The sequence below is a fragment of the Homo sapiens genome, chromosome 7, assembly GCF_000001405.40.
Source record: "Homo sapiens chromosome 7, GRCh38.p14 Primary Assembly".
Lineage (NCBI taxonomy): Eukaryota > Metazoa > Chordata > Mammalia > Primates > Hominidae > Homo > Homo sapiens.
This window is the reverse complement of record NC_000007.14, coordinates 115,066,676-115,082,299: the sequence shown is the minus strand read 5'-3', so window position 1 is coordinate 115,082,299 and position 15,624 is coordinate 115,066,676. Positions and strand designations below refer to the sequence as shown.

At 35.3% G+C, this 15,624-nt stretch overlaps 1 long non-coding RNA gene across 1 annotated transcript in view; it reads right to left on the bottom strand.

Annotated features, from left to right (window-relative positions):
- The window catches only part of LINC01393 (long intergenic non-protein coding RNA 1393), a 47,357-nt gene extending 44,015 nt beyond the window's left edge, over positions 1 to 3,342 (bottom strand). Inside the window, exon 1 of the long non-coding RNA NR_120521.1 lies at positions 3,191 to 3,342. This is a non-coding gene — a long non-coding RNA (long intergenic non-protein coding RNA 1393). The remainder of the gene's footprint in view (positions 1 to 3,190) is intronic.
- Positions 3,343 to 15,624: the final 12,282 nt, after the last annotated feature.

The following is a 15,624-nucleotide window of genomic DNA, read 5'->3' as shown; positions in this document are numbered from 1 at the left end:
ATTAGCTGGGGTTTGTTTTTCTTTTTCCCATTCTCTTTTTGTTTCTCCTAATTTACAGGTTCTTTGAACTTCTTTTGGATTTGAGGTGAGACCCAAGCTTAACAGTAGCACAATTCCTCCAAAGATTTCTTTCTACTGAGTATAAGAAACTAAAAAAAAAAAATCTGATGGCTGAGGGAGACACTCCTGTTAAAAAGGCCTTTTTAAGATTCCACCTCCTGTATTAGGGGAGGTTTATAGAGTCAAAATTTCCTGAGAATAGATGACCCTGATTTGCCTTAGAAGGTTTGATCATGGAAGATTCTGTGGCTGCAATTGCTCTGTCCAGCACCGTGTGCACGCTTTGGAATTTAAATTTAGAGATCATTTAGTCTCTGCAACTATGTCTGGGGAAACTTCCAAATCAATAGCCTGCTTTCTTTCAAAGGCTAGACAAGAATTTGCAAAATATCATCCAGTTTTCTCTTTATAGGTTGAATAAGGTAAAAATGCACACTAGCTTAACGAAGCAAAATTCAAAGCTGCCCTAATTACAGTGAAACAGTCCCTTAGCCTCCTGGATGATGTATCTTACATATTTTCTCAGGAAACAAGGATCAAGAAACTCCATCTGGATTGAAACTTGTTTTTCTGGATATTTTTGTAATGTTTATATCATTTTAATATATCACCGTCAAATATTAGCTCAGACTCTCAAAAGGACGAAGTAGCTTTTATGGTTAAGTTGATGTTTACTTCAAAAGTAATATTATTATATGATTAAAAGAAAACATAAAAATTTACTTCATAGAATCAGTTTCTGACATTTTTACTGTCTAAAAAGTTTAAAATTTGTGAGAGCTCATACAAATGCAATTCAAGGGTAGTAATTAGAATGCCTAAATCCAAGAGTTCTTTCACTCCCATAAATTGTTTCTTAAAAGGTAGGATTTAACAACAGCTTCATGTAGGATGTTCTGTTGCATTACTAAGGATAACTTTAATCAATAAACATATTTTCTAACTTTACTGAAAAATTCTAAATTCCTGTTTCTCTTACTTTTAAATGTCATGTATTTTGTGGTGTTTTCTTATTAATGCTATGTTTAAAAACGAGGCCCAGAGAGTCCTGATCTCAGCAAATATCTTTGTGAATATACTTTTGCTTTGGGGCAAGTACAACTTAATATTCATAACGCTTAGAATTGCAGAAGCGGAAAGTGAAAAGAATCATTGTGATTCCCAAGCTTTAAGTATTGGGGCTAAATAACTGATGTGAACAACTTATCAGGGGATTGGCAACATTATTAAAGTATCATGTAAAAGCCACGATTACTCTGAGTTTCAAAAATCCAGGGAAAGGAAAACTGTAGTGCTAGTTGACATTTCAATAAAATATGGCTAAGAAGAAAATGCCTTGTATCAAGAGATCCTCAATGGACTAGTTTTGAGCAAAACAATAAAGCAGAGACAAAGCAGTAAAATGAAAGTATATTCCAGTGATGACACTTGCAGTCTGAAAATCAATTAAGGCAATTTTGGAACAACATGGAATTAAGTAATTTTATGAGAACTTTAAATGAGAACAAAGTAAATGAGGTACCTGTGCGCGGTAGCACTTCTGCTCACAAAGTGTTATTGCTCTCTCCCCACAGTGTTCACCAAAGTCATTCCAGACACTAGCGAATTTTTGAAGTTGGTTTTTCTACTCCATGAAATTAATGTTATGCAGTATATATCACAGTGGACAGCGTAACTAAGAACCGTAAGGAATTCTTAGGGTTTTAGGGATGTGGGTAAATTTTTTTCTGGAGAAGACCAAAATTAGCTCTTTACTTTTAAGAAAGACTATTTCATTGAAAACCAAGAAATATGAAAGGATATCACATATATGCATTTCTGTCTCTGTTCATCTATTTTAATATTTCTTTAATATTTCAAACAATGGCCATGCGCCATTTATATTCCATAAGTTCATGTATCATTTGTAAATTTATAAATTGGGGATGAGACAAACAAAAAGATTTATTATGCTGAAAAATAGAAAACTGAGATGAGTTTAACAGTATGGAGAGGAAGAAGTAACTTTACAATTTCTAAGAATATTTTTAATACTGCATGTTCCACCCCAATTTGGAGAAATTTGGACTAAGAGTAAATAGGCAGACTCAACCACAGTCTCTAAAGTGAAATTCAGAGGAAAATATTAAAATGTTCTAGATAGAAGAGAAGTAGATAAAAGAGAATTTGATCGTATTCTATATGAGCATTGAAAACAACTAACAGAGTTACTGATGTAAAGCATGCAAAAAAAAACCTAGAAATAAATGGCATGGCAACTATAAAAACATTCTATATGGAAAAAATAATAGAAAGAAATAAGCAGATAAGAAATCTATTCTGGAAGGAAACAATCTAAAATGAGAGGATAACTCACCATGAAGACTTTATTCTCCCTTCTATAGGAGATTATAAGAACATAATTTTATAAAAGAAGGACATTAAGAAAATGATAAATGGGAGCTAAATTCCAGAATGAAGGAAGCAACTTAAGGAGCAAAAGCCACTATCACAGAATTAATAAATAAGTTAGACAAAGTTATGTCCAACAAGAAAAAAATAGACACAATAAAATATCAAACCACTAAGAAAAAGAGTATAATTATGGTGACTCTACACAGGAAAAAATATTTAGATAACTGTGATTCAAAGACAATAATAGGTAGAAACAGCAGAAAAAAAAAATGTAAATCCGGCAAAATAAAAATTCGTTGTCCCTAAAATAGGTAGGTCAACTAAGGTGACAGAAAAAGGCTTCCAAGAATAATCAAGCAAAATAAGGAAGAATTGAATTACAGATCATCAAAAAGATTCCTTACAGTCTAGGAACATTTTCTACAGCAATCTAAACCAAGAAAGTCCAGACGAAATTTTAAACTTTGTAGGTAAAGAAATTATTCTTTAGCCAGAAAAAATTGTGTGTGTGTGTGTGTGTGTGTGTGCGTGTGCACGCACATGTATATGTGTATATAAATAATGAGAGGTGAAATGTCAGACTGGTCTTAGACTTCTACTAAATCCAATGTCAAAAGAAATCAGAAGATAGGGGAACAAATGTTAGCAACCTTCAATAGTATCTCAGTATGTTCTGTGTTGCTATAACAGAATACCACAAGCTGGGTAATTTATAAAGAAAAGAAATATTTCTTACAGTTCTGGAAGCTAAGAAGTCCAAGGTCGAGAGGCCCACATCTGGCAAGGGGCTTCTTGCTGTGTCATCCCATGGCAGAAGGCAGAAGGACAAGAAAGCATGAGAGCAAGCCAGCAAGAGAGGGTCAAACTCCCTTTAATAACAGGACACTTCCTTGACACCAACATTGATCCATTCAAGAGGGCAGAGCCCTGGTGACCTAATCACCTCTTAATGGTCCCACCTCTTAATACCATCACAATGGCAATTAAATTTCAACATAAGTTTTGAAGGGGACATGCAAACCATAGCAAGTAGGAAAGACTGTAACTAAAGATTATTATGCCCAACTGAGGTGGTCAAACAAACATAAGGGCAACAGAAAGACATTTTATAAACAAAAACAGCAACAACCAAAAAAATAGTCAGGGAATATACAAGTCATGAGCCCTTTCTGTAAAAAAGGAAAGAAATCACTTGATGTCAAAAATCCAACCAAAGATGCTTGATTGGAGATGCTGGAGTAAAAGATGAAAGGCATCTGTCAACACACAAAGACAGTGAAGCAGTAAAGAAAGCATGAATGAAAATGTATACACAGCCAAATTATCATTCAAGAATAGAGGAAACCAGAAGACATTCTCATTCATGGAGGAAATGAAACAGGCATGAACCTTCTGGAGAAAAAAAAAAATAGAGCAGGCAAAACAAACAAACAAAAAACCTACTTAATGTAACAAAAAAAAACCTACTTTGTCCCAAGGGATGACTTTTACTAAAGTGCAGAACTGAAAAACAATGGTAAAAGGACAGCAGGTTTTGAATCCACTAAAATAAAAACAAAGAGTTGAAAATGTAGAAATCAGAGAAAATTCATATCATTAACTTGGATAATGTACATATAACAACATGGCTTAAAAATTTGGAAGGAACTGATGCTCTGTAAATAGCTGTTTAGCCAATCTGACAAATGACTTTAATTTATGAAACAGGAATTTCCACATACCACCATGCCTCCAAAATATTTTCCTATGTATAAACACCAAAACTGCATAGTTCAAGATAGGTAGCTTTTAGTTCGTTGGGAAGTTGGATCAGAAGAGGAAATATGGGAACATCTTTGTGTGCTTATTTCTCATCTTTCAGCAGACCCCACTCCATACGAGAAAAAAATTGCAACATGTTTTAAAATTTTACTTTATGCTCTTGATGTTTTTCATCATATTTTTCTTAATCTCAGACAAATGATTTGGAAGTTATATCACAGGTGGTAATAAATTTGTATCTAGAGCTCAGAAATTCTGTAAGTTCCACTTCAGTTTTTAAATTCTGTTAAAGGCAATCGAAATTATAAATAATATTTTTAATTTAAAAAGCACACTATTGCTATGAAATCATTTATCTGTCTATTCTTCTGCATACAAATATGCATTATTTTGAGTGATGAGTCAGTGTTTTTTTTTGGTTGGTTGGTTGTTATTTGAGATGGAGTCTTGCTCTGTTGCCCAGGCTGGAGTGTAATGGCTCCATCTTGGCTCACTGCAACCTCCGCCTCCTGAGTTCAAGCAATTCTCCTGCCTCAGCCTCCCGGGTAGCTGGGACTACAGGCACACGCCACTACGCCTGGCTAATTTTTTGTATTTTTAGTAGAGATGGGGTTTCACCATATTAGCCAGGATGGTTTCAATCTCCTGACCTCACGATCCGCCCACCTTGGCCTCCCAAAGTGTTGGTATTACAGGTGTGAGCCACCGCGCCCAGCCCTGATGATCCAGTTTTATTAACAATGATTACTTCAGATATTTTGGTGGCTTGTTAATTTTGGTTGCTTTTTAAATTTGTACTTTTTTTCTGTTTTGAGTGCATAATTAATCATTGAAATATGTCATTTAAAAAGTAATTTTGAAGCAGGAAAATGAAAGAATTGAAATTTTAAAATGCAATGTTATGGGTAGATAACATTATAATTGATACTATTGTGTAAGGGATGTTTCTTAAACTATAAAATAATTTTACTTAAGTTTTATTTAAATTGTATTTCTTCATACAAAACCTTCAATGAGACTCTTTTTGTTTCATATATGTTTCAACCCATATCTAGGATTTTAATATCTTAATCAAGAATAATATTTTATTGGAATCAGAGGTATGACATTTAAAAGTCTACCAGACATTAATTTCATTGGCCTGATACCAAATTCTGGATCCCTTCCTTATACCTCATACAAAAATTAACTCAGGGTGGATTAAAGACTTGAACATAAGACCTAAAACCATAAAAGCCCTAGAAGAAAACCTAGGCAGTACCATTCAGGACATAGGCATGGACAAAGACTTCATGACTAAAACACCAAAACAATGGCAACAAAAGCCAAAATCGACCAATGGGATCTAATTAAACTAAAGAGCTTCTGCACAGCAAAATAAACTATCATCAGTGAACAGGCAACCTACAGAATGGGAGAAAATTTCTGCAATCTATCCATCTGACTAAGGGCTAATATCCAAAATCTACAAGGAACTTAAACAAATGTACAAGAAAAAAACAAACAACCCCATCAAAAAGTGGGCAAAGGATATGAATAGAGACTTCTCAAAAGAAGACATTTATGCAGCCAACAGACATATGAAAAAAAGCGCATCATCACTGGTCATTAGAGAAATGCAAATCAAAACCACAGTGAGATACCATCTCACACCTGTTAGAATGCCGATGATTAAAAAGTCAGGAAACAATGGATGCTGGAGAAGATGTGGAGAAATAGGAACACTTTTACACTGTTGGTGGGAGTGCAAATTAGTTCAACCATTGTGGAAGACAGTGTGGTGATTTCTCAAGGACCTAGAACCAGAAATACCATTTGACACAGCAATCCCATTACTGGGTAGATACCCAAACGGTTATAAATCATTTTATTATAAAGACACAAGCACATGTATGTTTATTGCGGCGCTATTCACAATAGCAAAGACTTGAAACCAACCCAAATACCCATCAAAGTTAGACTGGATAAAGAAAATGTGGCACATATACACCATGGAATACTATGCAGCCATAAAAAGGATGAGTTTGTGTCCTTTGCAGGGACTTAGATGAAGCTGGAAACCATCATTCTCAGCAAAGTAACACAGGAATAGAAAACCAAACACCGTGTGTTCTCACTCGTAAGTGGGAGTTGAACAATGAGAACACATGGACACAGGGAGGGGAACATCACACACAGGAGCCTGTCGGGGGGTGGGGGGCTAGTGGAGGTATAGCATTAGGAGAAATACCTAATGTAGATGACGGGTTGATGGGTGCAGCAAACCACCATGGCATGTGTATACCTATGTAACAAACCTACACTTTTTGCACATGTATACCAGAACTTAAAGTATAACAATATAAAAAAAGTACAATTCTGTTAAAAAAAAAGTTAACATTTATCAGAATTTACACACACACAGAGACCATACCTAGTACAACTCGAAGTTGAGGTAAGTGTAAACAAATGTAAAGATACAGTATTAAATCATAAGTGCATAACATTTTAAAAAAATTTATTCTTCTAATTTCAGATTACTTCTTACTGATCTGAAATTTATTGTTTTCAGCCTAGTATTTGAAAAATTAACAAATTTTATGTTTCTAACGTAAAAACAGTATCTTCTTTTTTAAAAGGTAAGACCCATCCAGGATGAAGACATTCTTGACAGATAAGCTATGCTTTGGAGCATTCCTGAAGTTCCTCATAATTGCTCTACATATGTTAGGCTCCTAAGCATTCCTCAAACCATTGCACTGTCTACCCCATACCAATTATCATGTGGAAAAGTACAGTTAGATGCCTGGCATAAGTTGCAATCTGTCCATAACACATTAAGTTTAGTAGAGAGGGCATGGATTGTGGAAGCAAACTGCTAGTGTTTGAATCCCAGCTCCTTTAGTCACCAGCTATGTCACCCTGGGCAAGTTATTATACTTAACTTCTCTGTGCCTCAGTGTTCTCATCTCTATAATAAGGATGATAACAAAGCCTGCTTTATAACTTTGTTGTGAAGATTAAATGGGTTGAAATAAATCAAACCCTTAGGTATGACCTGGCACATAGTAAGCATGATGTGTTAGTTTTTATCTTTATCATGGTGACAAGTATTAAACTATAACTTATTTGTTCTTTTAAAATCTAAGAGTATACCTTCCAAATATAAGTATTAGAAATACCATGTCTTAACTTGAAAATCAAGTTAGAGACTCAAAACATAGCCTCTGTAACTGTAGGATACAATTTAATAGGCTAAACATACAGTTTGGATTGCTCAGGGCAAACTGAGATTGCCCAGGAAAATCTAAGTTTCTGCTTATTGTTCTGGCATATTTTTAATAATATTTCTTTCACTCTCAAAAGGAAGCCAGTTTAGATGATGTGTTATGATTGTGCTATAATTTAAAGGACAGAACTGTGCCACTTGGATGGACTTGGTTAAGGTTAGAAGCTAACCATACTTTTTAATTAATGTTATCTATGAGAAATTAAAATAAAAGGTTTCTTTTAGTCTTGAAGAAAACTTTTGTTAGCAATTAGTAATTAATTCATTTGTTCATTCAATAAATATTATGGAGTCCCTATTTTGAGGACAAACCTGTGAATAAAATAGACAAGCTCTCTGCTGATGAAGCTTGCCTTTTTGTGAAGAACATAGATAATTAAAAAGTAAGCAAGCATCTAGAATAGCATCTGACATATAGTAGACATACAATAAGTACTTTTAATTCTTTCTTTAATAAACAAGATGTGATTAATTTTGGTAAATATTCTGAAGAAAATAAAGTGATGAAACAAAGGCAATATTTGAATGTTATGCAAAGAATAGGACTGTCAAAAAATGGCCCTGGGTATTTAATCTGGAGTGCCTGGACTTGGATAAGGAGCTGGGATCAGCCCCACTCCCTTGCTCCCAGCCCTTCTTCTAATGGCGGGTCTGCTTCTGAACTCAGCTACACAGGAGTCCAGTGTCTTTCTCCACCTGGGTCCCAGGGTCTTTTTATGCTGTCACTTGAAGTTCACTGACAATTCCTCTTCCCACTTGGCCTCTCAAATCCAGATTCTCTGATCTCCTTCATTAATGAGGTCACTCTAATGTCTAACCCATTATAAGGCAGAGAAATGAGAGGACAGGGTTTTTCCACTTGAGTATGGAACCATACTGCATTTACAGCAGAGCTCCTTGGCCCAGTAGCTCTCTCTCTTACTCTAGGTGATAGAAGATGCCTTCTCTCTTGAAGATGCTGACCTCAAAGTTTTTGCATTTTAATCTAAAAATAATAAGTAACCATTGGAAAGTTTAAAAGTAGAAAGTAACGTGATTTGATTTGATTTTTAAAAATTATTTTGATGGTCATTTAAATAATGGATTTGAGAGGAACAAGAATGAATTTAGGAAGTGACTGTCACTGTCTTAAAACTGTGTGGCTTTGACCAGCACGATGGCAGTGAAAACTGGAAGAAGTGAAACAAATTGAGATCTAGTTTTCAAGGCTTGGAGATGATTTAAATGTCAGAGGTGGGAAGATGAACCAAAATTACTTCTTTCTTTTTTTGAGCCACTGGTTGGGTGGGGTAATATTATGTGAAGGGAACAGGTTAAATCAATAGCTCTCTTTTAGATATATTATGTTTGAGATGCCTATTACCCCTTCAAGTGAAGATACTATACAATGTGGATGGAAACATAAAACGGAGGTTTTTGAGGAAAGTTGGGTTAAAATGTAAATTTGACACTCATCAGCATATACATTATATTTTAAAAGCCATGCGACTGGATATAATCACCTGGGGAGAAAGCAAAGAAAGAAATAAAAGGGGCCAGGATGGGACCCTAAGACACATCAACATTTAGGGTTTAGTTAGAGAAGTAACAAGCAGAAAGAAGAAAAACTAGGAAAACCTGAAGAGTGATCATCAAGAAAGTCAAGAGTGGAGGCTATTTCAAAGAGAAGGGATGAGAAAACTGTACGGAAATCTTCTTCTAGGTCCAGTAATATGAGCACTGAGAAGTGTACATTGGATTTGGCAATATAGACACATTGATAAATTGACAAGAACAGTTTAAAGGAAAGGCTGGAAATTGACTAGGAAGTTGATTGTCCACAGTGGCGTGTAGGAGTGTTGAAGTATAGACAATTCATTCATTAGGTTTTGCCTTCAAAGACAGCAGGGGAATTAGGTAGTTCTTAGAAGAAAAAGTGGGGTCATTGAAAGCTTGCTTGTAAATAGAAGATACCAGAGCGTGAGTGTAAGCTGAAATAAGTGAACCAGCAGAGAGCATGTGATTGATGATGTAGGGGAAGACTGAAGGATCAAACTTTACAGGAAGGTGCAAGATGATAAGACACAGAGAACATTTGAAGAAATTCTCCTTTGAGAGTCAGAGTTTTTTTTTAATTTGTTTTTTATTCTTTGCTATTCTTAAATTTTTGAGTACATGGTAGATATATATATATATATTTATGGAGTGTATGAGATATTTTTCTTCAGGCATACAATGCACAATAATCACATCAGGCTGGGCACAGTGGCTCACACCTGTAATCCCAGCACTTTGGGAAGCCAAGGCAGGAGGACCACTTGAGCCCAGGAGTTCAAGATCAGCCTGGGTAACATAGTGAGGTCCTGCCTCTACAAAAAAAATTACAAAATTAGCCAGGCATGGTGTTGCACACCTGTGGTCCTAGTCCACTTGGGAGGCCGAGGTGGGAGGATCACTAGGGCCCAGGAGGTCATGGCTGCAGTGAGCTATGATTATGCCAGTGCACTCCAGCCAGAGAAACAGAACTAGATCCTGTCACAAAAAAAAGGAAAGAAGGAAAAGAAAAGAAAAAAAGAATAATTAGGGTAAATAGAGTGTCTATAATCTCAAGCATTTATCATTTCTTTATGTCACAAACACTCCAGTTATACTTTTTAGTTATTTTAAAATGTACAATATGTTAACACTGACTATAACCACCCTGTTGTGTTATCAAATACTAAATCTTATTCATTCTAGGTAACTATATCTTTGTAACCATTTACCATCCCTACTGCCCCCGTCACCACTCACTACCCTTCCCAGCCTCTAATAACCATCATTCTACCCTCTATCTCCATGAATTCAATTGTTTTAATTTTTAGTTCTCACAAATGAGTAAGAACATGTGAGTTTTGTCTTTCTGTGCTAGGCTTATTTCACTTAACATAATGTTCTCCAGTTCCAATCATGTCCCAAATGAAAGGGTTTCATTCTTTTTATGGCTGAATAGTACTCCATTGTGTATATGTACCACATTTTCTTTATCCATTGGTCTGTTGATGGACATTTAGGTTGCTTCCAAATCTCAGCTATTGTTAATAGTGCTACAACAAATAAATAAAAATACATATATCTATTTGGTACATTGATTTCCATTTCTTGCGAGGGTGTATATAGCCAGCAGTGGGATTGCTGGATCCTGTGGTAGTTCCATTTTTGTTTTTTTGAGGAACCTCCAAACTGTTCTCCATGGTGATTGTAATGATTTACATTCCCACCAACAGTGTATGAGAGGGCTCCCTCTTCTCCACATTTTCACCAGCATTTGTTATTGCCTGTCTTTTGGATAAAAGCCATTTTAACTGGAGTGAGATGATATTTCACTGTAGTTTTGATTTGCATTGCTCTGATGATTAGTGATATTGAGCACCTTTTCATATACCTGTTTGCCATTTGTATGTCTTTTTTTGAAAAATGTCTATTCAAATATTTTGCCCATTTTCAAATCAGACTATTAAATATTTTCCTGTAGAGTTGTTTAATCTCCTTATATATTCTGTTCATTAGTACATTGTCAGAAGGGTAGTTTGCAAATATTTTCTCCCATTCTGTGGGCTGTGTTTTCATTTTGTTGATTTTTTATTGTTTTTTGTTTTGCTGTCAAGAAGCTCTTTAATTTGATGTGATCACATTTGTCCATTTTTGCTTTGGTTGCCTGTGCTTTCAGGGTATTACTAAAAAAATCATTGCCCAGACCACAGAGCTAGTCTTTTTGAAAAAAAAAATTGCTGAAGGACAGTCAGAGATGATGGATACCAGTGCAGGAAAGTTTGTATTACTGGAAGCATTCCCTCCTGAGAGTTTCTCATTTCTTGGTGAAGTTATGGAGTGTGGGAGTTGGGTGAGGTTTGAAAGAGAGGAGAAGGTATGGCATGGGGTGGTAGACAGAATTCTAAGAGTGACACCCCCCCAAGCTCCCCATGCCCACCCCCCACCGACCCTCTCCCATGTACAATCACTTCACCTTAGAGTAAGGCTGAAACATACATACGTTGAAGCATCATTCATGTGATTATGGTATAATATATGGCAAACTGGAGATTATTTGAGTGGGCCTAATCCAATCACAGAGGCCCTTTCAAAGCAGTTTTCTCAGGGTGGTGAACAGAAGAGGAAGTCAGAGATTTGAAGCATGAGGGAGATTCTATGCCTTGTTTCTGGCTTTGGAGATACAGGTAACCCGGGTCCAAGGAACAAGGGAAACCTGTAGGAGCTGATAGTGGCTCCCAGTTGATAGCCAGCCAGGAAATAGGCATCTCAGTTCTACAACCACAAGGAATTTTATTTAACCACAACCTGAATGATCTTGCAATGTGTCCTTCCCTCAAGCTTCCAGATAAGAGCCTGCCTTGTCCATCATCTAGATTTCAGCCTTGAGAGACCCTAAGCAAAGAACCCAACCCATCTCATTCAGACTTCTGACTTACAGAATTGTGAGATGGTAAATTGGTATTGTTTTAAGCCAGGACATTTGTGGTAATCTGTTATGCAGCAATAGAATACTAATAGAAATAGTTATCCTGGGATTAGGGAAGTTAATATGCTAGGAAAGGTAGTAGAATTTTAATATTGTTGAGTGTCCAGTAGGGATATGTGGTCAATAATATAAAGTAAAACCAGATATTCTATATGTTATATGATTTTAGTATCATCTGGTATTCATCACCTCTGACTCTCCTTCAGCTTCAGGCATAGAGATGTAGGATATTTGGGTTAAATCAGAATTATAATTTTGACAGTTAAGTATGAAAAAAGACAAGAACAAGCATTTTGCAAGGGAGAGTTCATAATAATGTACAATGACACCTAGGTGAGGAGAAATTTAAGACGAGCATACTGGATGGTAAGAAAGTGAGTTATAGTGATCTCAGTGAAGCATAAAAAACATGACAGAAGAAGGGCTGGTGGGAGATGCTGAGTGCCAGTGGAGTGTTTGGAGTCCATGTTGGTGATTTCGAGATCCAGGGGGGTGATCATGGGAGTACAAGGAAAATGTTGTTAGGAGTGAAAAAGTGGAGGAACTGACAAGACAGAAAGTGATGGTTCAGCCTTATGGATGACAAATTACCAAGAATGAAAACGTGGCTAAGAGGAGGACAGAGAGCAAATTCTCTAATAAATAGGAGAATCAACCAGATAGGTCATAAGTTGATAGTACCAAGGAGGGGCAGCAAGTATAATATCTTGATGGAAAAAGTTTTAGTTTTTCAAAAAGGAAACAAGATAAATGTCTTGGAGGCAACAGGAGAGAGTAAGAACACTAACCTCCTGGTCCTAAAATACACAGAGGTTGTGAGAAAAAGTAATCTTTACTCCAGAGTACAACAGGGAGACCAGTACTCTGAACAGGTGGTCAGGTTTCGCTCACAGTAAGATGGCAAAGGGAACTTTCAATGAAGACGTTGAATATATAATAGAGTTGACTGATCCCAGATCTTGAATCTCAGAGGACACAGAAAAACAATTTGGGATGAGAGGTTCAGGTGGAGACTTAGTGGTCATGGTAATAGATATATGGGGCTGTCTTAGAGACAGCAAGTGGCCTGAAGGCTTAGACTTCTGTAGGCAATGGTAATAATCTGGAATATGAGGCAAGCTGGAGTCAATGCTGATTATCTCCTACAAGGAGAAGAATAGCAAGTTCAAGCTGTCTTCTCAAATACATAATGTGGCTGTTTAGGAAGCTATTTCTCTTCCTGGGGGCTCTCAATGGTATGCAATCATGATGGGGAATACTGACCCAGAGTGACCCCTGTACCTTCCTCTAGTTCACCATTCAGTAGTGGTAATGATCCCATAGAAACATAAATGGAAAGCTCTTTTAGTAATATTGGCATCAAAGAATTTGTGTTATTACATGAATGGGAATTTAAATATGAATGGTGGGAATATTCATACCTGGCCCCTAGATTCAGGATCACACAGTGCCAACGTGGCCACTGGGATTCACGTTTTTAACAGGGATTGTGATACAGGACTTCCAAAGGAGGGACTGGGATCTGGGTCCTGGTTTCTATTTATTTCAATATTTCTTTAGTCCTCACTTATTTCATTCTAGCTTTTCTAGTTCCATTTACACATACTTAACCTAAATTGTAAATTAAAAATGTATATATTTAAGATATACAAAATGATGTTTTATACACATATACATAATAAAACAATTACTACAGTCAAGCTAATTTACATATCCATTTCCTCACATAGTTACGATTTTTTAAATTTTTTGTATGATGGCAACACCTAAAATCTACTCTTTTAGAAAATTTCCAGTATATAATACAGTATTATTAACTCTAGTTCTCATGCTGTACATTAATCTCTAGACTTATTCATCCTATGTAACTGTAACTTTATACCTTTGACTCACTTTTCCTCAACTTGCACTTCACCCTCCCTCCTGCCCTTGGCAAACACTGTTCTCTGTTTCTGTGTATTTAATTTTTTAGATTCCACATGTAAGTCACATCTTAGGGTATTTTTCTTTCTGTCTGATTTATTTCATTTAACCTAATTTTTAAAATAATCCTTTGGTCTTTAAGTTCTTAGCCATTTGACCAGCAACTTTCTCTTCCTCACAGGCAATGGTAGGTAACTCAGCTGTAGAAAAAGATTGACTCTGAATGGGAGAGACATGTGGGCCTCAACTTTTTGAATGTTTGCTTCATTTAAGGCAAGCTCTATAGACAGATGACAGATAGATAGATGATAGATGATAGATAGATAGATAGATAGAGTATACACTTATTATTACACATATATAAATATACATATTTAAATTTTTCACCTTTCTTAATTATAATTCAACATGACAATTATTTGAATTTAAGACCATATTGTTAAAAATGTAGAGTTACTAGTAAGTATAATAATTTTACAACTTTCAGATATAATGCACTATTGGCAAAACATGTTGAAGTACCTAAAAAGAAAAAAGGTCAGAAATGATTAATAGAACTTCACAGATATTTACTTTTTTCTCAGCTGTCTTTCTACATTGCACTGAATTTGGTATTATTAAGTGTGACATTTCACCTATCATGTTTTAAGCTTCTTCAGGGAAAATATAAAAATACAGCAATTTTTCTCTTCAAGAGTAAAGTACCAATGTTATGTTGTTATGGTAACTAAAGTTGTAAAACATTTAGAGAAAGGTAGTTTTTCAGAAGTTGCCATAACTTTGTAATCGTGAACAAACAATACCATTTTGTTTGAATGCACTCATTGTTATATGATTGTAATTGTTCCCAGAATGTTCCAAAGGATTTCTAGAAGGATAATTTCCTAAAAGCCTTTAAAAAATTGACAAGCCAAATAATTATTACTTTATTAAGAAAAATATTCCCAGCATTTCACTGAGTTTAGTATACTTAAACTTATTTTCCAGTAATTTATGCATATCTAGAAACTTTTCTATTGAGAAAAAGTATGCATCACCTATAGCTAGGCAGGCGATATAAAATATTTATCAGCCATGCTTATTCCTATTAATTGGGTTTTGAGTGGAGGAGAAAATCAGTATTTTTGGTAACCCATTCTGTTTTAACTGCCCACTTGATATCACAAATATATGATATAACTTTAATGTATAAAATGTAATGATTGTGTTACATCATATATGTGTGTTAACATTTAATTGTCTATTGGTTGTTACATTCTTTTTCTAAAAGTAATACTCTAGTCATATAATCCTCATTTTTATATTGCTATTTCTTTCATATATGAAATTTTTATTAACTGCAAAATAGTCATTATTACTATATTACTTAGAAGCTCAATATAAATATTTATACTTATCCATGATTTTAGTAGCAAAGCACAACAGAACCTCCCAAAGATTAATGTAGTAGTTCTCAGTTGTGCACATAGATCTTTTCCAAGCACCTATTTCAGTTTCACAACCCTGCAGATTCTGATTCAATCGGGATGAAGTGGTTCTGTGCTATCTATATTTTGAAAGTTTCACAGGTGACTCTATGAGTAACATCTTTACTCTTTGAGACCCTTTACACTAAAGTATAAAAAAGGAAGTATCTTTTTAAATATGAGAACATTGCTGAGCATTCTGAAATGAGAACATATGAGAACATTATGAATCTTGTGCCAAATCTTTATTATTT